At 44.3% G+C, this 24,646-nt stretch overlaps 2 pseudogenes across 1 annotated transcript in view, besides 1 other annotated feature; one reads left to right on the top strand and one right to left on the bottom strand.

Annotated features, from left to right (window-relative positions):
- Positions 1 to 24,646, bottom strand: part of CCDC162P (coiled-coil domain containing 162, pseudogene) — a 189,118-nt pseudogene that overhangs the window by 15,611 nt on the left and 148,861 nt on the right. Inside the window, exons 34-39 of the transcript NR_152435.1 lie at positions 23,920 to 24,058; positions 22,370 to 22,490; positions 10,226 to 10,335; positions 2,821 to 2,970; positions 1,889 to 1,942; positions 723 to 890 (exon numbers count right to left, since the gene is read on the bottom strand). The product of NR_152435.1 is annotated as a coiled-coil domain containing 162, pseudogene (transcript). The remainder of the gene's footprint in view (positions 1 to 722; positions 891 to 1,888; positions 1,943 to 2,820; positions 2,971 to 10,225; positions 10,336 to 22,369; positions 22,491 to 23,919; positions 24,059 to 24,646) is intronic.
- Positions 10,226 to 10,753: an enhancer, noted in NCBI's record as "OCT4 hESC enhancer chr6:109649788-109650315 (GRCh37/hg19 assembly coordinates)". NCBI's record gives its function as "activates a minimal SCP1, AML or CMV promoter by ChIP-STARR-seq in primed H9 embryonic stem cells {active_cell/tissue: H9 hESC(primed)}" and the evidence as "EXISTENCE:reporter gene assay evidence [ECO:0000049][PMID:30033119]".
- RPL7P28 (ribosomal protein L7 pseudogene 28) lies at positions 11,445 to 12,163 on the top strand (annotated as a pseudogene).

Here is a 24,646-nt window from a genome sequence, read left to right as displayed (position 1 = left end):
CTGTGGACTTGCAGGTGGTAGGTTGCACTGAAATTCACACTGGTGAGTCAGCTGGACCAGTCTCCCTGATGGCCCATTTTAGGCTTGGGGCATCTATCTTATGGCTGTGCAAACATCACATGAAAGCGATTGGCTTCCACAGTGCTGCGGGTGCATGCGTACCCCATCACTTCTGCAATGGGTCTTTGCTGACAGGTCAGCAGTTTGCTGACATTGAATGTGAGAGTGAGGCTGGCAGGCATTTTGAGGGTTGGAAAAAAATGTGGAAGCTGATTCAAATTCTGAATGTGTCCAGGGAGTTCTCCAGAGGCACCTGCTGCTACCTACGTAAGGTCCGGCCTGGCCCAGGCACTGTAGTCTGGAAAGTCACACTAACAGATAAAATGGTGATAGAAACTGGGGAGGTGAGGGACTGTGGGGAGCAGAACACTCTGTCCTCCCAACAGCAATCAGACAGTGACAATAGCAACTGTCAATAGAGGGTAAAAGATAGACTTCTATATTATCCCCAAATTCAGTGTCTATCGTGGTTAATGACAACCCATTGCTGACTCTCTTTCTGCAGTGAAAGCTTAGAGCTAGAAAATTCTTGGGCCTAACAATCTCTTGTTACTACAAAGCCCATTATTCTGTCATCGATCCCTGGGTGTGCAGCCACCATGGGAATCCGTTACACTCGGCTACCCAATGGGTGGCCCAGATGTTCAACACGGGACACTTACTTTTATGTGTAAACAGGTCTCAAACAAAGCTCGGACTAATGCTTCATATTCTTCTTGGACTTCTTTTCTAATCTGCTTCTTGAGATTCAGATTCACTTCTTCCAAGTCTGTGAGTTGGGCTCTCAGAGTGGTGATTTCCATGATCATATCATGACTGAGCTCTGCAATCTAGAAGCATGAGAAAATGTGTGTGTGTGTGTGTGTGTGTGTGTGTGTGTGTGTGTGTGTGAGAAAAACAATTTAGGAGTTTCAAACTGCTACTACAAAATAGTTTCTTATAGATCAGTATTGAATTTCACTTCTATTTTAAACCTAATGAAGAGAGTGAACATTCTGCTAAATAAATGTGGGCAGAAGAATTTAAGGACAATTCAAAGGTCCCAGAACAGTGCCAGACACTGACTGGTGAATAAGTGACCCCAGAAAAGCCACTACATAGGCCCTTTTCAGTTAGAGAAAAATACTTCAACTGTCTTGGCCTCCATTTCCAAACTGGCCTCCCCTTGACACCTCAGCCCAAACATCCCTTTTCTTTTTTGGAATGCATTTTATTTTATTTATTTATTTAGTCTGAGACAGAGTTTTGCCCTTGTTGCCCAGGCTGGAGCGATCTTGGCTCACCGCAACCTCCACCTCCCGGGTTCAGGCAATGCTCCTGCCTCAGCCTCCCGAGTACCTGGGATTACAGGCATGCTCCACCACACTTGGCTAATTTTGTATTTTTAGTAGAGACGGGGTTTCTCCATGTTGGTCAGGTTGGTCTGGAACTTCCGACCTCAGGTGATCCACCCACCTCAGCCTCCCAAAGTGCTGGGATTACAGGCGTGAGCCACCGCGTCTGGCCTGGAATGCACCTTAACTGGCATCAAAAGAAAACAAGAAACAACAACAAAACTCCCCAAAGTAACAACAAAAACAGAACAAAACAAAACCAGTACAAAATAACAAAAGCGACCAAAAAACTCAAGAAAAAAAAATGCACCCTAAGGAGGGTTGCTCACCAAAAGTGAAAGCACACTCCTTGGTGTTCCTGCAGTGGACCTTCACTGACGGGACTTCTACAGGTGACACAAGCAAATGACTCTAAGGCATCCCATAGCTGGCTAGCCCTGAGAGTGTGGATGTGAGAAATGGAGAAGAGAACCTTTTAATAGGAAATGACCTACCTGGCCAGCACTGTCTTCAGGTGGACCCTGGCCTCTTTGTGTAGCATCTAATTCCTGGGCAGGAGAAAGCAGTACACAACCAAACTCTAACATTTAGTCTTCCAACCATGGCTCAGGTCAGTACAACACATTCCAAACACCTCCTATTTGTGTTAATGGAGCCCCATTTTGAGAACCTTAGGCTGTGCCTGGAGCTGAGACTGTGTGAGTTGCCCCACTGGACTTCAGGATGCCTAACACAGCCTCAAAAGACAACATTGACTTCCAGGTACCCACACTGATGCCAAGAACTGAGTAATGGGGATAGCCCAAAATAGGGGTGGCTCCAAGGCTCGTTGTTCATCATTTCAATGCTTCATTTGGTGTTTTGGCTAGTGGTTTAGACTTTTGAACTTTTCTAAGGTATAAACTAAAATCACACTAAATCTCTGATGCAATCTACCTTCACAATAGTGGGCAGCCCAGGGCAGGAGGACTGACTCTTCCATCCCACCAGCAGGCTCATATTTTAAGGAAGTCTCCCAGTGAGACTGACCCATGACATGCATCCTGAAGAGAGAGTTTACTCAAGGATCCTGGCTTCTTTCCCAGACCAGGAACAGCGCACGGTGCCTTGTGTTTGCTGAGGGTGGAAAGGACAGCTATGTACCTTCCCCTGCAGGGCCAGCCCCTTTGTTGCTCACCTTTCGTATTCTCCACTGGACACTTCCCAAGCACATAACCTAGTGTGCAACTGAGAATACCAGAGCCCAGGAGAATGATTGAGCCAATGAGTAGAGAGATTTGAGGGTACCATTCACCCTCAGTTCTGGCATAAGAACCACTGTATGTATCCCAACCCCCTCAGTTTTACTTTTCTCTTCTGAGTGCCTCCTGAGCCTCCCTGCCCATGCCCATTCCCCACTGCAGTTCTTCTCTCTCTGGGAACCTACTTGCTCTTTCTGGCTGAGCCTCTGCCTAGCATGATGCAACACATGCTCATAGCACATGGAGTAGGTCTCAAAGTTGCTGCATTCTCTTGCCATCACATCACAACCCAGGGAAAGGAGGCAGGCCTCAAGGTGATCTTTCCTGAAAGTGATCTGAAAGGAAAGAGGCATTCATTATTCACAGCCACTCCAGCAGTGCAGCCTCATCATGCCAGGGCCCCAGGCACTCTTTGCCTTGGCTCACAGACCCACTTTTGTTTCTCCTCTATATCCAACCATGGGCTCTAGCCTTGCAAGCCTCTCTTTCAAGTCAGCTTTGAACATTTGTAAGGACACGAGGACAATGGAAGCCCACATAGCGCATGTCAAAACATTGAAAGGTTATAAATCAAACTAACAAAATATCAGAATGAAATGTTTAATTCTCCTACCTTGAAAAACAGACCTGAAAAATGACCTGGAAAGCCAGATTTGAATTTATTATTCCTGGACTACTCTGAGTTTTTTTGTTTTTTTTGGTTTTTTTAGACGGGGTCTCACTCTGTCGCCCAGGCTGGAGTGCAGTGGTGTGATCTCAGCTCACTGCAGCCTTCACCTCCCAAGTTCAAGCAATTCTTCCACCTCAGCCACCCAAATAGCTGGGATTACAAGGGTGCACCACCACACCCGGCTAATTTTTGTATTTTTAGTAGAGATGGGGTTTCACCATGTTGGCCGGGCTGGTCTCAAACTTCTGATCTCAGGTGATCCAGCTGCCTCGGCCTCCCAAAGTGCTGGGATTACAGGTGTGAGAGTCACCCGGCCGACTACTCTCAGTTCTATGCTGTAGTGTGGTGACCTGGGGAAGGCTGGTCCCCAACCTGTAGTTTACAGTGTGACCCCCTTCTCTTCCCAGCTCTGGCCTCATGTCATGCTGTGAGGTCTTCACATGCCTGTGAGTGGACATCCTAGCCTGCATGTCCAAACTCCATCCACACGCCCAGTCGCCTCTTGGCCACTTCCAGGCCAGGGGTGTGCACACTAGTGATGAGGTCCACTCTCACTCGGGGGAAGGTGATCCAGGGAGGAGGCCCATTCAGGCCAGGGACTCAGGGAATTCCAGGTCCCAGGTACTTGGAGCATGGTCTAAAATGAAGGCCAGGGCTCTGAGTGGATATGTCCCTGTGGCCCAGGGGATTTCTTACCTTGTGGGGAAGGTCATGGCTGGAGAAAGGCCAGAGAGGGGCCCTCTGGTATATGGGGTATCTGGCAGGGGCTTCTCTTGCTCTGGTCTAAGGGCCACACAGCTCATTCTCTAGGCAATTCCACTCATTCCCTTTCTCCAGGAGATTGAGCATACTTTTTGAATAGGTGGCAATTAAGGAACAGCCCAACCTTCCAAGGCAGGCTTAGATTTAGGTTCTGGAGAGAAATGGGAGCCAATATTTGGAAGGTAGGACAGACCTACCTAACTAGGACCTGCATATCTATGCGAGTGTGTTTGTCCCTCTGTGCATCAATGAGTGTGTGTGTGTGTGTGTGTGTGTGTGTATCTATCTGCAGGGATGGGGGGTGAGAAAGTTTATGGGGCCAAGTCTAAGACCCAGCCTACACTGTAACGTGAGTTTTATCTGTGACACTTCTGGGGTCAGGCCGGCTCCTGCTCCCTGGCCATCTACCATTGAAGCCAGCCTGTCCTTTGAGCCTAGGGGATCCTCCTGGCTCTGATTTGCTTGTCCTGGAAGGCCCAGGGCACTGTCCTATCATTGCAACCCCAGTGCTCCACTGACCTCCAGTGAAAGCCTACCATGGGCTTGGCCAAGGTAAGTTATTGAGGCAAACTAGCAGAGATGGCAAATAGCAGTAAGACGAGCCCTGATGGAGGAGAGTAAGGACAGTGGCTCACTCGCTGCAGCTGGGGAGAGGAGACAGAATCTATTTTGGAGGCAAGCTGACAGAATATATGACAAGATTTTACATGCTTGTGACTTTTGACTTAGTAGCTCCTCTTCTAGGAATTTAGGGAATAAAAGTTATCCACAAAAACATACGTAAACAGATGTTTATGTATGTTTTTATATTTTTACATATTTTACATATGTCTTTATATTTTTTCCAATAGAAAAGAAAAATGGAAACGACCTAAAATGCCTAACAATGGAAATGAGTTGAATCCATCTGGCTCATAGACATGACGAAATACTGAATGGCCACCATAAATGGACATATGTTTATTGATGAGGAAAGATCTTTATAACATATTGTCAAGTGAACAAAAAAGCATGCTATAAAAAAAGGTCATGCAGAATAATCTTATTTTGTAAAAAAAAAAAAAGTGTGTATTAGTCCATTTTCACACTGCTGAAAAAGACATACCTGAGAATGGGCAATTTACAAAAGAAAGAGGTTTAATGGACTTATAGTTCAACATGGCTGGGGAGGCCTCACAATCATGGTGAAAGGCAAGGAGGAGCAAGTCACGTCTTACACAGATGGCAGCAAAGAAAGAGAGCTTTTGCAGGGAAACTCCTGTTTTTAAAACCATCAAATCTTGTGAGCCTCATTCACTATGGTAAGAACAGTGCAGTAAATACCCACCCCCATGATTCAATCACCTCCCACTGGGTTCCTCCCACAACATGTGGGAATTGTGGGAGTTACAATTCAAGGTGAGGTTTGGGTGGGGACACAGCCAACCTATATCAAAGTGCATGAGTAGAAAAGTGTTATAAATAAAGTTTGGAAGAAAATATGTCAAAATAATAATAGTGGAGGCTAGGTGCTGTGGCTCACATCTGTAATCCCAGCACTTTGGGAGGCCAAGGAGGGATTGCTTGAGGCCAGGAGTTTGAGATCAGCCTGGCCAACAAAGTGAGACCCCATCTTTACAAAAAAGAAATACAAAAACTAGCTGGGCATGGTGGTGTGTGCCTGTAGTCCTAGCTTCAGGAGGCTGAGGTTGGAGGAGCACTTGAGCCCAGGAGTTTGAAGCTGCAGTGAGGTATGATCAGGCCACTGCACTCCAGCCTGGGTGACCTGTCTCTTAAAAAAAAAAAATAATAATAATAATAATAATGGTTATCAATGAGCACTAAGATTATGAGTATATTTTCTACTACAATATAATCATAAAATGTATATAACTAAAATAATTATGTAAATATATGTAAAAATAAAATGCATATAGTAATCTAAAGATAGTTGAGCTTTTTAAAAAGTCATCAACTATATCAGCTTGGCAGGATATGATCAAGATACGGGCAATAAAGCAGCAGATGGAAACCTCTGCTCACGCTGCATTTAATGAGCAGTGGATGGGGCAGTGAGGGGCAGGAACTCAGTGTCTCCCACTCACACTCTAGGGCCCTCCTCAAGGGGCTGCATTAGTGGGTGGGGTGAGGGCAGGATGACCTGCCCGTTACCCTTCTTGCCCCACCCAGTCTCTGGAGAGCAAGCACCAGGACAGCCATGGTTTAGTTGCTGACACAAGGCAAAGAGAACTCAAGATTCTACCCCTGGACCTTGACCTCCTGGTGAAAGGGCAAGGCTACACGGGTTTGGTCATGACAAAGGAAGCACTTCCTGGTTTGACTGTAATGAAAGCCTGCAGCCATGAGAAGTCACAAGACCCTACTGGAGTTCAGCAAGGTGTGGCCAGTGACCTCTTCTGGGCCTAGTGCTCTGAGCCAGCCACAGCAACTCAGTCTTTACTATCCTGGGTATGAGTGCCCAGACATGGGTGTGCCAACAGGGCATCCAACAGCTCTTATGCAGGGCAAACACTTCTCATAGTAATGCCACCATAGCCTCTGCAGATATAGGATCCCAAACCCACAGAAACGCACAACTGGACCACAGTGGCCCTCTGCCATGCCCTCTGAGCCAACATGATGTTTTACCTGGCCAGCAGGAGGAGTCTGTGGTGAGTCTGTATAACACCAAAGAGGTGGGAAAGGTAGGACTCTCCTTGAGCATCTCCAGAGGCCATAGAAGTTCTATTGCTTCCTTCTCTCAGAGCTCTACTGAGGCCTCAAGAGGTTGAGCTGAAAGCACAGCTCAAGGGGAGAGAGGCTGGAAGCAGGGAGAGGGAGAAGGGTGCAGGCAGAGTACCTGCAGGGGACATGGGACAGGGAGCATGTCTGAGGAGGGGCAGACAGGAAGCAGTGAGTGGCCAGTGAGGGAGGGGTGCAGGGAGGCTCTCAGGCTCCCAGCAGCCCCTCTCTCCAGGTAAGCTTTGGTCTTGCACCCTGTGCACTTGGCCTCCTGGAAGCAGCACATGAAGCAGCCGGTGTGGCTTCCGTGGGCTCAGCCTTCTCTGGGCTCTCGGAGCAATTTATTTCCTAAAACTTGCTCTGCAACCTACCCCTGCCTCCCTGGGTCACTGTAAATGTCACCTGTGCTTGTGTCAAAATGCAGCGTGAGTGGGTACCATTGGCCAGTTTCTTCTCCAAGACCCTGGCTGGCATAAGAGCTGCAGACTAAGATTATTGGCCCAGTTCTGCCCAATAAGCAGCACCGCCTTCCACTGGGCTGTTCTGTCACCATCATTCAAACCTGAACCATGATGGATGGCACTGGGTGGAAGAGCAGCAGATTACCCCAGGGATTCTTCAAGAGAACCAGCCTGGGGTGAAGCATGGCAAGCACTGGGCCTTGTTATGGCCAAAGTCTAGCCCTGAGGCCTGCCAGCAGCAATTGAGTTTCTGTGGTTTGCTTCATCTTGGAATCCCTTGTAACAATTTGTTTAATATCAGGCACACACGAGGTATCTTGAGGATGTTTCTAAAACACCCACCTCTGCTGACAAAACACATCAGTGGGCTGGGGGCAGTGGCTCACACCTGTAATCCCAGCACTCTGGGAAGCCGAGGCAGGCAGATCACTGGAGGTCAGGAGCTCAAGACCAGCCTGGGCAACATGGTGAAACGCTGCCTCTACTAAAAATACAAAAATTAGCCAGGTGTGGTGGCATGTGCCTGTAATCCTAGCTACTTGGGAGGCTGAAGCAGGAGCATCACTTGAACACAGGAGGTAGAGGTTGCAGTGAGCCAAGATTGCACCATATCCATGATGGAGACAGGGGGTGGCTGGAAGAGTAAGTTCCCTGTTACTGCAGATGATCCAGAAAAGGCTAGAAGCCTACCAGGCACAGACTTTGGAGAGGCTGGGGCATCCTGAGGACCCTGACTTCAAGACACTGGCAGGCTGACACCAGCCTCTTCAAGTGTGCCCAGAGTGTGGGGTGTACCTGATATGGGTTTGCTCTGCCTACTGACATTCATGCTTCTTTCCCACAAGACCTCAATGTTGGGGTGAAGCATACAGATAAGAAATGAGAAGGACTTCAGTCACTAAACTGTTGTTTTTATTGTGTTAAACATAAAATTTGTCACTATACCATTTTCAAAGGTACAGTTCAATGGCATTAAGTATATTCACATTGCTGGGCAACTATCACCACCATCCACTGCCAGAACTCTTCATTTTGTAAAACAAAAATCCTGTACCCGATAAACAGTAATTACCTATTCTTTCCTCTCAGCCCCTGGCAACCACCATCCTTTCTGTCTCTCTGAATTTGGCTACTCTAGGTACCTCATATAAGTGGAGTCATAGCGTTTTTGTGCTTTTGTGACTGGCGTATTTCACTTAGCAATAATGTCTGCAAGGTTCATCCACATTGTAGCATGTATCAGAATTTCCTTTTTTTTTTTTTTTTTGAGATGGAGTCTCACCCTGTCGCCCAGGCTGGAGTGCCATGGCACAATCTCGGCTCACTGCAACTTCCACCTCCCAGGTTGAAGCGATTTTCCCGCCTCAGCCTCCCAAATAGCTGGGACTACAGGCGCGCGCCACCACACCCGGCTAATTTTTGCATTTTTAGTAGAGATTGGGTTTCACCATGTTGGCTAGGCTAGTCTCGAACTCCTGGCCTCAAGTGATCTGCCAATCTCAGCCTCCCAAAGTACTGGGATTACAGGCATGAGCCACCACGTCAGGCCAGAATTTCCTTCCTTTATAAGGTGAGCCACAAAATTTTTCCATCCATTTTTCTGATATGCCCCACCCTAACCACTTCCTTATCTCAAGGATGGGAAACTACTTCACCCACTCAGAGTACCCAGTACCATGTTTGTTTATGATTGAAAGCTTAAACTAATACATGTAAGTCATCAAGTTCTGAGGAAAAATGTATCCCCAACCAAGCTTGTGAATTCTCTACCTCATAAGAACTGAGATGTGTATTATAAAATAATGGAGAACATTTGAAGAACTTGGAAAAATGTAAATTTGGAGAAGACATTTAAAAAAATGAAGTATGTTTTGCCAAGTCAAATTTCTTTAAATGGTTGAGTTTCAAAGGAAACTGGATTCACAGTTACCTAAAAGCACTTGTTAACACTCCACAAAACTCTGTTATGGTCAAATATCTACGTCTACTCTCTTATCCTGCCTTTTCAGTGGGTTGCTTTGATTTAGCAAGGCACTTCCTGCCAAGAATAAACATGTTTCAAAACTCCAAGGACTGTGTATATGCATGTGTGTATGTATTAAATGTATATTATTATTTAATATAATATATAGAGTTGTCACGGATTTGAATATTTTTTCTGGAAGGACACACACAGATTGCTGAAGCTGGCTTCCTTTGCAGAGGAAGCTGGAGATGGTGGCATGGGGACAGGTGAAAATGCTAGCTTTCTGTGCTATTGGCTTTTTTTCATATGCTACATTTTAATGTTTTCTAGGTAACAGCATTATAGGCTATTTTGGTTTTCCTCATTCAGGCTTTCCATACTAACAAATCAACAACAGAATATGTTGCTAAAAACCAACTCATTCATAAACAAACTCCAAGGTTACTTTAAAAAAATTGACCAAATTTGAAATTTGCCAACGTATGTATTCTAATTACTCAGATCTTTAGTGGAAATCAATTTTTTTCCAAAATTAAAAACTAATGATTACAGCTGAGCATGGTGGTGGCTCATACCTGTAATCCCAGCACTTTAGTAGGCCAAGGCAGGTGGATCACCTGGGGGTCAGGAGTTCGAGACCAGTCTGGCCAACTTGGTGAAACCCCGTCTCTACTAAAAATACACAAAAATCAGCTGGGTGTGGTGGCACATGCCTGTGGTCCTAGCTACTCAGGGGGCTGAGGCAGGAGAATCGCTTGAACCCGGGAGGCGGAGGTTGCAGTGAAGCCGAGATCGTGCCACTACACTCAAGTCTGGGAGACTCCATTTCAAAAAAAAAAAAAAAGGAAAAAAATAACTAACAATTGCTCTACTTTGGGCTTAGCCTCAGTATTCATATAATCATTCTTAGGGAATAAGGGAAGCATTAGGAGATCCATTAAATGAGAAAGTTTTCCTTGTTTGGGATGATGTTATAAAAACCAACAGAATGACTAATTTTCAATACATACCTCTACTCCATCATCCTGATAATTCTACATTAATCTCTGTATAAATTTTTCAACTATTTGTGGTCTTGAGACTGAAAAGTTTTCTTTCATGACTTGGTGTTTCCAGAGATCTAGGGGGAAAAACATACTGGCACTAGTACCACAAAACATTGTGCTGTCATTAATGGCTATAAAATGGCAACTCTCTGAGACAGAACATGGGACACAATAAGCTGTTTCTAAACTCAGCTGCCCCTTGATACATGCAGGGGACTGGGGATTGTTCCCAGGAACACCCTCAGATCCTGAATCCATGCATATTCAAATCCTGCAGTCAGCCCTGGGGAGCTCGTGGATACAAATATCTGCCCTCTGCACACGTGGTTTTCACATCCCGAATGCTGTATTTTCTATCCTCATCTGGTTGAAAAAAAATCTGTGTATCAGTGGACGTGCACAGTTCAAACCATGTTGTTCAAAGGTCAACTGTATGCAAAAACTAATGGGGGCTGGGCAACTGGGGATCCAAGACCCTCTGGAACATGGGAACTAGGAAGATCTCTAACCTGACTCCTAATGCAAAGATTTGGAAGAGCACCTATGAAATCCAGGGAATATTCCATTACCATAACTAAAAACCCCAAATCAAATATTAGTATCAATCCTACATCATCTTTATTTTTATTAAGGCCTTCTATGTATCTGCCAATTATTTTGGTCTAAAACAATGATCAGAAATAAATGAACAGCTATTATATTTATCTGCTTAAGTTCCTAGTGCTAGAGGGCAAAATTAACTTGAATATATAATAGTGATAAAAAAGGAGAGGAAATTCAAAAGAGAGAAGTTAGAGTTACAGATTAGAAATGTTGACAGACTGAACTTTAGCTCCAAGATTGAAGCAGCAATATGGCTGACACAGATGGGATGAGGCATATACAAAGTTCACTTGAGGCCAGGAGTTCAGACCAGTCTGGGCAACATAGTGAGACCCCATCTCCACAAAACATTTAAAATAGACAGGCATGATGGTGCATGCCTGTAGTCCTAGCTACTTGGGAGGCTGAGGTGGGAGAATCCCTTGAGCCCAGGAGGTCAAGGCTACAGTGAACCATGATTACATCGCTGCACTCCAGCCTGGGAAACAGGTTGAGATCCTTGCTCTAAAAAAAAAAATTAAAGGGGTTGCACGTGATCAGTAGCTGCAACACTAGAAAGATGGCAGAGCAAGAGCGAAGAAAAATCCCTTTGGTTCCAGAAAATCTCCTGAAAAAGAGGAAGGCTTATCAAGCTCTCAAAGCCATCCAGGCAAAGCAGGCACTTTTGGCAAAGAAGGAGCAGAGGAAAGGAAAAGGGCTCAGGTTTAAATGACTGGAATCATTCCTACATGGTTCCTGGCGGCAGAAACGTGACAAGGTGCATCTCAGATGACTAGAAGTGAAACTTCACACTTTGGAATTGCCAGATAAACATCCTTTGGCCTTTGTTGAACGCATTGAAAGGATTAATGGTGTGAGTTTACTGGTGCAGAGAACCATTGCAACACTTCACCTAAAGAAAATTTTTAGTGGTGTCTTGTAAAAGTAACCCCCCAGAACCTAAAAATGCTGCGTATAGTGGAACCTTATGTTACCTTTGGATTTCCAAATCCGAAGTCTGTCTGGCAACTCATTTTGAAACATGGAGAATCCGAGGTCAAGAATAAGACCATCCCTCTGACAGACAACACAGTGATTGAGGAGCACCTGGGGAAGTTTGGCATCATTTGCTTGGAAGACCTCATTCATGAAATTGCCTCCCCAGGGAAGCATTTCCAGGAGATGCCATGGTTCTTGCACCCTTTCCACCTCTCAGTGGCCTGTCATGCTACCAAAAATAGAGTGGGCTTCCTCAAGGAGATGGGCACACCTGGCTATCGGGGTGAACGCATCAATCAGCTTATCCGCCAGCTGAACTAGACCCAGGTGCCAAACTGCAGTAAATTTTTGTCAATGAAGTGGAAGCATGTGTTTTTGTTTTTTGGGGAATTTTTATCAAGTATGTTCAGAGAAGATTATTTCCTGCCTTATCTTCAAAAACTGGAAAGGAAGCGCCAAAGAAAAGACAGCAGCTGGCCAGGCGCGGTGGCTCACGCCTGTAATTCCAACACTTTGGGAGACTGAGGCAGGCAGATCACCTGAGGTCAAGAGTTCAAGATCAGCCTGAACAACATGGAAAAACCCTGTCTCTACTAAAAATACAAAAATTAGCCGGGCGTGATGGTGCACACCTGTAATCCCAGCTACTCGGGAGGCTGAGGCAGGAAAATCGCTTGAACCCGGGAGGCGGAGGTTGTGGTGAGTCAAGATCGCACCATTGCCCTCCAGCCTGGGCAACAAGAGCAAAACTCCGTCTCAAAAACAAAACAAAACAAAACAAAAAACAACCCAAAAAACAAAAGATAGTAGCTTATGTTCACGGCAAGCACCTCTCATCACAATCCAGTTCCAAGAAAAAATGTTAGTGTTTTCTACATTGGCTGATGCCCCGTCTGAAATCAGCACATTCCATGGAGGAAGGCGTCCGCTTTGCTGCATCGTCTATCCCAGGGTTTAATGTTGGTAAATGAGTAACTCTAGCATCTGTACAAGGCTCCCTAAGACTCCTGCAGCAGTCGACCAAGCCCAGGGACATAATTGAATCTAGAGATTCCTGGGGCCTTGCTTTGAAAAAGACTTGAAATACACATAGGAAGAAAGGCACAAAAATAAATGTTCACTTGTCTCTGCAATAAAAAAGGTAAATAAATTTGAAAAAATATAAAAATTTAAAGAAAATAACCAGAGTTATTCAGAGGAACATTGGTTATGGCAGCAAAAGCTTGGAAGCACACAAGTGTCCACCCTTCAGGGCGTACTTAAACTATGGCATATCCTTCCAATGAAATAGTACGCAGCTGTGAAAAAAAGAAAAATTCTCCATATACTGTTATGAAAAGAAGCACAGATTGTTAAATGAAAAAGGCAAGGTGCAGAACAGTGGCCATAAAATGCCACATTTTATAAGAAAGATAACTAAAATGATAATAAAGGGGGAGGATATCCCCTCAAGCCTACTAGGATTACTACCCCAGAAACTCCCCTTTCTTCTCTATCATCATTTCTCCCCTCTTTCCTGGATCACTCACAATAGTATACATTATTTCTCTCGTCTCATAAAAACCTTTCTCTTGACCCCACTTCACCCATCAGCTATTGCCTCATTTCTTTGTACCCTGTTGTAGCAAAACTCCCAGATAGAGAAGTCTATACTTAAACTGCCTTTGACGTCTTACAAATTCTCTCTTAACCCCACTTACCTGGTTTTCACCTCCACCACTTCACTGAAACTGATTTTGTCACAAACACCAGTGATCTGCACGTGGCTAAAGCCAGTGGTTTTACTCAACTACCAGCAGCATTTCACACAATTTGTCGCTTCCTCCTGCTTGAGAAATCTCCTTCACTAGGCATTGGGACACTGCGGTGCCCTAGTTTTCCTAACTCAACGTTTGTTCTTTCTATTCCTTCTAGATGTCTTTTGCTATTTCTCCTCCCCCACCACCCCCAGCTGTTAACATTAGAGTGTCTCAGGGCTCAGCCGTGGTCCACCTCCTCACTTCTATATATATTCACTCCCTTGGCGTTCTCATCTCGTCTCACAGCTAAATACCATTCATATCCTGACAACTCGCAAATTTAGATCCAATACTCACTTGGCATGTCTTCTTGGATGTCTAAAAGGCATTTAAAACTTAATTTGTGCATAATCAAATTCCCAATCTTCCCTCCCTAACTTGCTTCACAGTTTTCCTCTCAGCTGATAGAAATTCTATCTTCCCAATTGAGAACGCTGGAGTCATAATTGGTTTTTCTTTCTCACATACCTAATAATACTGAACCCATTAGTGCCTACTTCACAATAAGCCCAGAGTTTGACCATTCACTATTTCCACTGCTCCCAAGTTTGAGCCACCATCACTCCTTTCTTCAGTTATTGCAGTAACCTCCACACCAGCTTCTTTCTACTTTCACCCTTTCTTCCTTCACAGCCTATTCTCCACACCTTAGCCAGAGAGATTCTGTCAAAATATAAGCCAGATCATGACACTCAAAATCTGAGACTTGGTCCCCACTGCATTTAGAGTAAACACAAAAGCCTCAAAAGGCCTTGCATGGTCTGCCCCCCTTCCCCCTCCCTCTCTGACTTCAACGCTTACTACTTTTTCTCCCTCACGGTCTCCACTCCAGCCACACTTAGGTCCTTGCTATTCTTTGAATATAATAGGCGTGCTCTGCATAGGGCCTTTGTATGGCTTGTTCCTTCTGTCTGGAATGCTCTTCCCTTAGATACCCTCATAGCTCAATTCCTCACCTTATTTCAAACTTTTGCTCAAAACATCACTCACTCAGTGAGGTCTACCCTAATCACCCAATTTAAAATTGCAGTGGACCCCTTCAAACCGCCGCAACACCACCCTTCCTTACTCCATTGCTTTCCTTTTTCTTATGTTATCGCTTGTTGTCTACCCCTTCCTAGATTATAAACTCAATGAAAGGAAGAATATATTCCTAAAATATTTCCTAAAATATAGTAGCCTAGGACATGGAATAGTTCCTGTAATGAAAGAATGTAAATATTTATTGAATAGTTATTGAATGAAAGAATGAATATATGCACAAAGCAGCACTGAAAGAACATGCAGAAAACTAATGAAAGTGGTTACGTACAGGTGGCAGACTAGGATGCAAGGGGGTTCATGGTGACAACAAGACTCTAAATGTATATTTTTCATCATTTTGAGTTTGGAACCATGTGCATATATTATCTGTTAAAAATAAGATACTTAAAAATAACATGACAGTGGTGGAACGATGTGAGAATGTCAACACTGCTTGACTTCCATCCACGTGGAAGAGCAAAAGCACATGTGCACGTTAATTACAATGGTAAGAACTGGCTGGATAGTGCCTACCTCCTCGTGGTGGTCCCAGGGGAATACTGAAGGGAAGCGATCTATGGAGTTGGACTTAGGAGCCACGCTCCACCTCACTCCGTTTTCTGTTAATGGGGGGTGCTGGTCATCAGCAGGGACACCTGCCAGCCTGCTCCTGCCCCAGCTGTTTCTAATTTCAGATGAGACTTCCTACCTGCACACTCAATTTACTGACAGGAGGCTCAGTGCTCCCAAGACGAAACACCTAGCACAGTCCACCCAGAAATGTGGGCACAACAGAGCCAGAGCCTCTGGTATTTGTACTTACGCTATTTACTGCCAAGTCCTGGTTTTGAAAATGGGATTCTATGTTTCTTTAACAATTGACTACTTTCCATAATAAACATATAAATCTGTTTTTGCTTTTCCTTTAGGAAATAAAGGCCAGAAGACACATTGCCACTGTCCCAGTACAGCTGAAATGGAAAATCCAAGAGTTAATGTGCCCAGCAATTCACACTTCTTAAGATGTTTAAGACTTTTTAAAAGTCTAAGCTATGACAAGACAGGGCTCATGCGTATTTCAGATGAGAAGTTGGATATCTTTTCCAGGGTGCTGTTGTGGCAGGTCTCCAGCTCACAGATAAGCCTGGTGAGGGACCACATCTGTTGCACACTTCTAGTATGGGGACCCTCACCTGGCAGATGTCCAGTGAGCTGGTTTGGGGTTTAGCTCTGCACTCAGCTGAAGGGAAAACTTAACAGAGCGCTCGGCCGCACTCTCTCCTTGCTCGTGAATTCAGGTTCAGACATGCATTTGCATCTGCAGGCAGGAGTCAGGGAGCCAGGAAAAGCAGAATCCATCCAAAAGAAACAATTCCTGGCAAAGAGGAGTTGGCTGTCTCCAAATGGGTCTCATTTTCAGTGTGTGTTTGGTCATGGCTTCTTTAAGAGGAGGCAGCCGTTTTTGACAGAAGCATGGAAGTAGGAAGGAGACAGCACACTGGGGGTTAAGTTGGGACTCCATTTTCTCCTCTCACTCTGTTCCAGGTCATTTGACTAGAGGAAACTTTGACTTCCTGTTAGCCAAACCACTTCCCCTCTCTCCTTCTCTGCACACCACCCCCAGGCCTCCTTCCTCTAGGAAGGACATCTTGGCTGGGTAACATTCCACTTCCCTAACACAACCACTAGCCTTTGGTGCCTCAGTGGTTCCTGGGTCCCAAACCAAGGCAGAACTGAAACTTGAAGACATATGACTGCCAATCAAGGCTGTTCTCCCAACCAGCTGGGGCGCCCCAATAAGTGGGTAGGTTGAAAGCCTTATTGCAGAGTATGTATGCATCTTGTACTCTTGTGGTTTTCAAACTGCTCCCCAGAACACTAATTCTTCGTGTTGATAATAAATGTTTCCAAGGAGAGGAAAAGGTTCTATGGTCAAATAAATAAAGAAGTAAATAAAATAAAAAATAAAAAAACATTGCATATTCTCTCTCCTTTGGAGATTCACAGTGCACAGTTGGATAGTAAAGGCTCTAGAGTAGAGGAAACTGTTTAGCATTATTTACCCTGAGTTTCCCAAACTTATTTTGAACAAAACACAAATGAACAAAACCCTTCTCCACCGACCCTGAAAAACATGGTAGAAATCCTCCTATCCAATGTACTCAAGACTAAGAGTTAGTTGGTTAGTTAAAAAAAAAAAAAAAGTCAGTTAAAGCAGAGAATGCTTTACAAATAACATGTACTATCTAAAACATTTTATTTAACTTAAAATACATAAATTTACAAACATCTGCCAGTCATCTAACATAGGGCCTAGGCCTTTTCTTTGTAAGTACCCACTGACCGAAGTTCTGCCCCATCTTTCTTCTATAAATCTTGGTCTATAGTTTCTACTTTTGTTTGTTTGATTTTAGAGAAAGAAAAAGACCATGAAAATCCAAACACATCATTTTGCACAATTTCACAATTTTACCTAGTCTTTTCAGTCATCTGTCTCATAACCAATTTGATAATTTTTCTTTTTTCTACACAACTAGCCTTTTATTCAGGTTTTCCAAATCCTTTCAACGTAATTTTTATTTTGTTTTCTTTTTCCTTTTCTTTTTTTTTTTTTTTTTTGAGACAGAGTTTCGCTCTTGTTGCCCAGGCTGGAGCACAATGGCGCAGTCTCAGCTCACTGCCTCAGCCTCTTGAGTAGCTGGGATTACAGCTGCCCTCCAGCACGCCTGGCTAATTTTTGTATTTTGAGTAGAGACAGGGTTTCACCATGTTGGCCAAGACGAAGTGCTGGGATTACAGGCGTGAGCCACCACGCCCGGGTGTTTTACTTTATTTTCTTTTTCAAATACATTTAATTTTTTTAGAGCAATTTTAGGTTCATAGCAGAATGGAGGGGAATGTATTGAGAGTGCCCATAAGGTCCTCACACACATTCTCCACCATCAATGTCCTGCCACAGAGGGTGCATTTGTTACCATCAATGAACCTACATTGACATGTCATTATCATCCAAAGCCTATAGTTTGCATTATGGTTTACTGTTAGTGTCCTACATCCTATGGGCTTGGATAACATATGATGACATGGATACACCATGTTAGTATCATACAGAATAGTTTCACTGCCCCAAAATCCTCTGTGCTCTGCCTATTCCTCCTTCCTACCCTCCTAAATGGTGGCAGGCACTGATCTTTTTACTCTCTCCATAGTTTCGCCTTTTCCAGAATGTCATATTTGGAATCATACAATATGTTGCCTTTTCACATTGGCTTCTTTCACTTAGTAATATGCATTTAAGCTTCTTCCATGTCTTTTCATGGCTTGACAGCTCATTTCTTTTTAATGCTTAATAATGTTTCACTGACTAGATGTGCTACAGATGATCAATTTCAATTTAGTTTTTCTAGAATCAACAGATCTCTTTCTTTTTGTATTCCTATTACGCTGGTTTACATAGTTTTTAATTAAATTATCTCAATACAATGACAGTTAAAACCGGCACAAACAGGTTTGGAGCAAACAATGATCAGAGATGCTAGGTAAAATACATGCAACCCAAAGCCTGTGATTAGTGAGCACTTTGCTGCCTTATGTTACCAGAAGAACGGAAAGCGTCAGGTAACCCAGAAGCCTGTTAGCGAAGAAGGGCTGGGAGAACTACTGCTGTAATATCTTGAGGAACTTGTGTTCCATCGCACTGCTGGGGAAATGCTGGCTGACACGATGCTCTTGTAAGAACTGTTTTGATATGCTCTCTTGAAGCAAAACATTGTTGATCTCTCACTTTTAATATATGTACACTTATATTTTGATTATATTTATTATCCTATATTATTATATTTTTATATTTTATTTTATTTATATGTATTTATAACTACCTACAACACTACCAATAGCGAATATCACAAAGCATGATATACTTAGGGGAGGATTCATCAACAATGAGAATGGATCTCAATCCGCATTCCCAATAGTTTCCTTGACCTTTTACAATTTTTTTTTGTCTGCCAGGCAGGTGGCTTACACCTATAATCTCAGCACTTTGGGAGGCAGAGGTGGGAAGATCACTTGAAGAGTTCAAGACCAGCCTGGGCAACATAGCAAGAGGATGGCTCTACAAAAAATTTTTAAAAATTAGTTGGGCATGGTGGTGTGCACCGGTGATTCTAGCTACTTGGAAGGCTGAGGTAGGAGGATCGTTTTAGCCCAGGAGTTCAAGGCTGCAGTGAGCTATGGTGGCACCACTGAACTCCAGCCTGGGTGGCAGCATGAGATCGTATCTTTAAAAAAAAAAAGAAAAAAAGAAAAATTTATTGTCTGTCTTCTTATCAGACATGATTAGATTATCTTTTATGACCTCAGAATGTGGCTGAGGATAAGCATGCACTAGGATTACAGTGTCACCTCGACTATTTTCTCATTACTTGTGGATTGCCTGCCCATGGTCACTTCAGGACACCTCAGTGTAGAGTGTGGCATGTGACTCCTTACATATGGCTCTAATCTATTTAGAAGTTCTCATATTTTCTTCCCACACCCCTGGGATATATGCATTCCACTTTGGAGACTGTTGGCCTTATAACTACCCAGAGAAAATTAGAAAATCAATTAAAAATCACTTCAATGCCAAAACATCAAAGATGAGGGATGGCAGAATCTTTGTGAACCAACGGGGCCATTTCTGCTAAGATAAGCCCCGGGGCTGAACAAAGATGTCTGGATCAACTTTAGATAGTTTTCAGGGGACTACTAGTTCAGCTACCGAGACCTAATACAAGGGCCAGGTCTGGATGCCACATCCTCAGAGGCTCAATGACAAACCGGAAACTCATTCAGAAGCTGTATGATCAAGCTCCAAGACAAGGTGAGGGGGAATGAAGGAGGGAGAGGGAGAGAAGTATTCCAGGGTTCCTTTTTTTTTTTTTTTTTTTTGATACAGAGTCTCACTCTGTCACTCAGGCTGGAGTGCAGTGGCACGATCTTGGCTCACTGCAGCCTCGACATCCTAGGCGTAAGCGATCCTCCCACCTCAGCATCCTGAGTAGCTGGGACTACAGGTGTGCACCGCCACACCCAGCTAATTTTTTTTCCATTTTTTGTAGAGTTGGGGTTTTACCATGTTGCTCAGGCTGGTCTCAAATTCCTGAGCTCAAGTGATCCGCCTGCCTCGGCCTCCCAGAGTGCCTTTGGGCTCCAGGAGTGAGCCACCATACCTGGCTCAGGGTTTCTTTTTGGCAGTTGTAAATGTAAACACCAGAGTCAGTCAGCCCATAGGGAAGGAGAAGACCCTGAGGAAAAGGATAAGGGCTTTTGCTGTCCCCCTGGTTCTCAATACTCTCCATTCCTAACTTCCTCTGGAAAAACCTCCAGCCCCAAGCTAATCTTGACTACAAAGGGTGATCTCTGCATGAAGAGGCAGCCCTTGCTTGGAAGCCCTGGCCACTATGGCTACTTCTTGCTGCCAAGATAAATAGTAGGTAGGTGGGGATTCCAATATGTTATTGCCTTCTTTGAAGGTACCAAGCCCACAGAGGTCTCAGGAAGATGACACTGAATAAATGTATACCAAAGCACCTTGGCACACAGTAAGGACTCAATCGCTTGAATTAGGAGAACTCAGTAGAGGTGGAGATCCAGGTCTCCACACTGAGTCATGCCTGACAGACCAAAGAACAAAACAAAATAGAACCAGAAACAACAACCCTTCCCCTTTGACATTGGCATGGAGTTTAAAAGTCTTATAAGTATAGAATCAAACAAGAGTTTAGAACTGGCCAGCACACTCCAGCCAAAGTGAGGCTTGGTAATATCAACCTAGCCACTGTTAAAAATAACTCTACCCCTCCCCTCTGCCTGCCCCCCACTGCATTGAAGGCCCTTTGCAAGCACAGCTGACAGGCACCCTATGCAAGGCAGCACAACCACAGAGCAAAGATGCTTCCCCACAGCCCCTCACCCCAGGTGTCTCATAGGAACCACGGCCCCAACATGTGCAGATGGCTGCACCTGATGCAGGCTTGTGGATTTTCTCCAAGGACTCGGAAGGGAGCCGCCTGGATGCAGCAAACACAGCACAAACAACAGGCGCTTTGTGTCTTGTTGAATGTTCTGTAACTAGAGCTCAACCACACTCAGCTCTCTGGTGGCATTAGAGACGCCCAGCTGGGGAGAGGCTCGCGCTTTCATTGCACAGGGCCCTGTTTACAGAATTCGGTTACTCGAAGCACTAATAAAACGACTATGTCTTAGGTGAGGACAGAGGTTATTAATTAACACTACAATGTCTGTGGACTTTGTCTCAAAAGCAAAACCTAATTTAAGTTCGTAGTCAGACAACTCCTCCCTAGCTCAAAGGTTATGAATTTCCTACAGAATATTCAAAGTTAGGAATAGATATTATAGTTCAGACAGGACTAGCTACATAACGCAGGGGCCTGGCGCAAGATAAAAATGTAGGACCTCTTGTTTAAAAAGCAGGAAAAAGTGTCACACCGACATTAAGAGATAAACCTTTTCCCTTTCTTCTGCAGTCTCTCCCTTGACCTGTCATGGTGTTTTTAATTTGCTTTTAACGTTGCGCTCTCTTGGTCATGGGAATATGTGCAGGGGAAGTGAGACCCCCATAAGCACCCAGTGGCCCTGCCTGTGTCTCAGTGCATGAATACGCATGACCCGCCAGCTACCAGACTGAGGCACCGGGCCCTGCCTGGGGATGAGAAGTTGAGTCAGGCATCTCCCCTTCCCACCACCCCAATCCACTGTGGAAAGGCAACCCCCAAGAGTACTGCAACCTCTGTCCTGAGAGACTCTAGGTACCCAAGGTGGGCAGGAGGCTTGCCCTCACTGAGCTACCCATTGAACACATGGTGGTGCTGCCAGCCTAAGACCCCTGAGATGCTGCCAGGTGCACACGCCTGACCTTGACCCTCCCTGTGCCAAGGTCCCCGTCCCCTCTGGGTACAGGGAGGGTCAAGGTCAGACGTGTGCACCCGGCAGCATCTCAGGGGTCCCAGGCTGGCAGCAACACCATGCGTTCAATGGGTAGCTCAGGAAGGGTAAGCCTCCTGCCCACTTTAGGTACCTAGAATTGTAACTTTGAACAAATTCAAAGGTAAACCATTAAAAGTTTCAGGATGGTGATCACAGAACATGAAATCTCAAGTGCCCCTCTGCATCCTGTGTGTCACATGCCCGTGAAGTGGCCCCAAGTTTGGACCTCAGATGGAAGGAACCATTCTGATTGCCTTCATACCCTAAATATACAAATTTGACATATCATAACTTATATATGTTACAAATAAGAAAGGCTTTAGGTTTCCCTTCATTTCAACTTTATTTCAGTTATGAGTTAATCAGTAGAGTTGAAACTGAAGTGAAACTATGTTTTCCATTTGTTTAAAAAAGCCTTTGTACAGGGAAAGAAATATACCAAAGGGCTTTGTGTCTTGTTGCAGGTTCTGTAACTAGAGCTCAACCACACTCAGCTCTCTGGTGGCATTTAGAGACACCCAGCTGGGGAGAGGCTTGCCCTTTCATTGCACAGGGTCAAGGGTAAAAGGTCATTTTTATATCATTTTCCGGGCATCGCACCGATGTTTTGGTTTTTGCTTGTTTTTACAACAAATGTCGATACATGAATTGCTTTCGTAATTAGGAAAAACCAATAAACATTATTTTGTGAAGTAACAAAATAAATGTACTTTACCTGTAGGGAGAGAACACTCCTCCTTGCACTTTTCTGATAAAACCAGTGTCATTTCTCTGTTAACTTTTCTTAGTACCTCTTGGATCATTTGAATTTCACAATTTTCCAGAAGTTTTTGAAGCTAGAGTAAGCATAGGTTGAGGGTCACTCACTACATTCAGATTATATTTTGGGTCCCGTGTCACATTCCTGCAGAAGGGCTTTGGGCTAGGGCCTGTCCCTCAGCTACTCTCCCGGGAAAGAAGGAACACTTCCCTTCTAGGTCTCCCAAGTGCTTCTGGGGGCACAGATGTACCTCCCTGGAGACTAGCACCTTTTCTTCCTGGCTCACATCCTCATTGATAAAATACAATCCTTTTTTTTTTTTTAACCAAGTTTTGCTAAATTGCAAAGTGTCTAATCCCTGGGGTGACCTCATGTCTTCCGGGGTCTCTAAATGTGGCTAGGATTCTGTGAGTTCTCATTACAAAAGAAGCTCTCAGCCGGGCACAATGGCTCACACCTGTAATCTCAACACTTTGGGAGGCCGAGGCAGGTGGATCACAAGGTCAGGAGTTCGAGACCAGCCTAGCCAAGATGATGAAACCCCATCTCTACTAAAAATAAAAAAATTAGCCGGGCGCCTGTAATCCCAGCTACTCGGGAGACTGAGGCAGGAGAATTGCTTGAACCTGAGAGGCGGAGGTTGCAGTGAGCTGAGATCGCGCCACTGCACTCTAGCCTGGGCGACAGAGCAAGACTCAAAAAAAAAAAAGAAGCCCTCAGGTATAAAACTTGATTTAGATACCAAGGAAGATTTCACAAGATTTAAAACTCCATGTAGGACCAACAGTAAAGTCTTCCAAAAACTGTGAGCCCTCACTCAATCCATTATGCTTGCAGAGTGTAGGTTTCTCCCTGTTGAAGGCCCCCAGGTACTGGAAAGGAATAGGGCTCAGAAGGGTAAGCAGTGAGCTTGGCACTGGGGCCTGACAGGGGCTGACTTCTCCTTGTTGCTCAGTGGATGAGCATCTGTGCATTGACAACCGAACAGCCGAGGCTTTGCTTGCCTGGTACAATAAGCCCAGCCACAGAGCGCGTGAGTCCCAGGATCAAGCTGAACAAAGACTCGGGAAAACAACTTCTCCACACAGATCATCTTACACATACCAAATGGGCATTTTCTTATTCTCAGAAAAACAATTACAGGGAGCTTTTACAAATATTTCATTTCCATGTGAATACTTGCATGCTAAATTTTATGCTTAAGATAGTGGTTATGTTTTCTATGATCATTCTTATGAAGGTACACATCAATTTGAGGAAAATCAAAATGATAAAAATCCAGACTTATAGAACAGGGACATTAAGGGTAGTAATTTGCTTCATCGAAGCACCACATGGCTTTAAATACTTAGTCCTGCCCTCCCTCCAGCCCATTCAATGATTTACAACCCTGCAATTTACACTCAGCTTCTTGGAAAAAATACCATTTGGGTATGCCTGTAGTTTTACATGCTAATGCCATAAAGGACATTTTCAAAGGCAAATTTAAAATATATCCTGCATACTTGGTGAGTTTTTATTTCAACTTCTGAGGCTCCACTGGGGGGAAGAACAGACTGATTATTTACTATAAATCCTTCAAATTCATCTTCTTTCCCCATCTGCCTGGCTATAGCTTTCATGCTGGGGTAGAGAACGTCAGTTCTATTAAAGAAGAAAGACAGAAATTAGCAAACATATTTTTTCTCATTTCAATTCTCTGATAATTATTTTCATTCATTTTCTCTTTCCTATCATCAGTATCCTAACCCATTCACAGATACATCAACATTTAATTCACCACAGTTATCATTCCTTAGCCACATGAAATCGTGAGGCTTTTTCCCATTGGGTGCATATAATTTCAGTCCTCATTCTTCAAAATATTGACAAGTCTTCACCTTCCCTAGTTATCAGGGACACTGACTATAATAATTTCACAAGATAAACAATCTGGCTGTACCAAAGTGAACTTTTTGTTGTTGTTATTGTTGTTGTTGTTGTTTGTTTTTGTTTTTTGAGAGGGAGTTTCACACTTGTTGCCCAGGCTGGAGTGCAATGGTGCGATCTCAGCTCACTGCAACCTCCGCCTCCTGGGTTCAAGCCATTCTTCTGCCTCAGCCTCCCGAGTAGCTGGGATTACAGGTACCCACCATCACACCTGGTCAATTTTTTGTATTTTTAGTAGAGACAGGGTTTCACCGTGTTGGCCAGGCTGGTCTCAAACTTCTGACCTCAGGTAATCCACCCGCC

The sequence above is a fragment of the Homo sapiens genome, chromosome 6 (assembly GCF_000001405.40).
Source record: "Homo sapiens chromosome 6, GRCh38.p14 Primary Assembly".
NCBI lineage: Eukaryota > Metazoa > Chordata > Mammalia > Primates > Hominidae > Homo > Homo sapiens.
The sequence above is the reverse complement of the archived record's forward strand: the minus strand, read 5'-3'. Positions and strand labels throughout refer to the sequence as shown.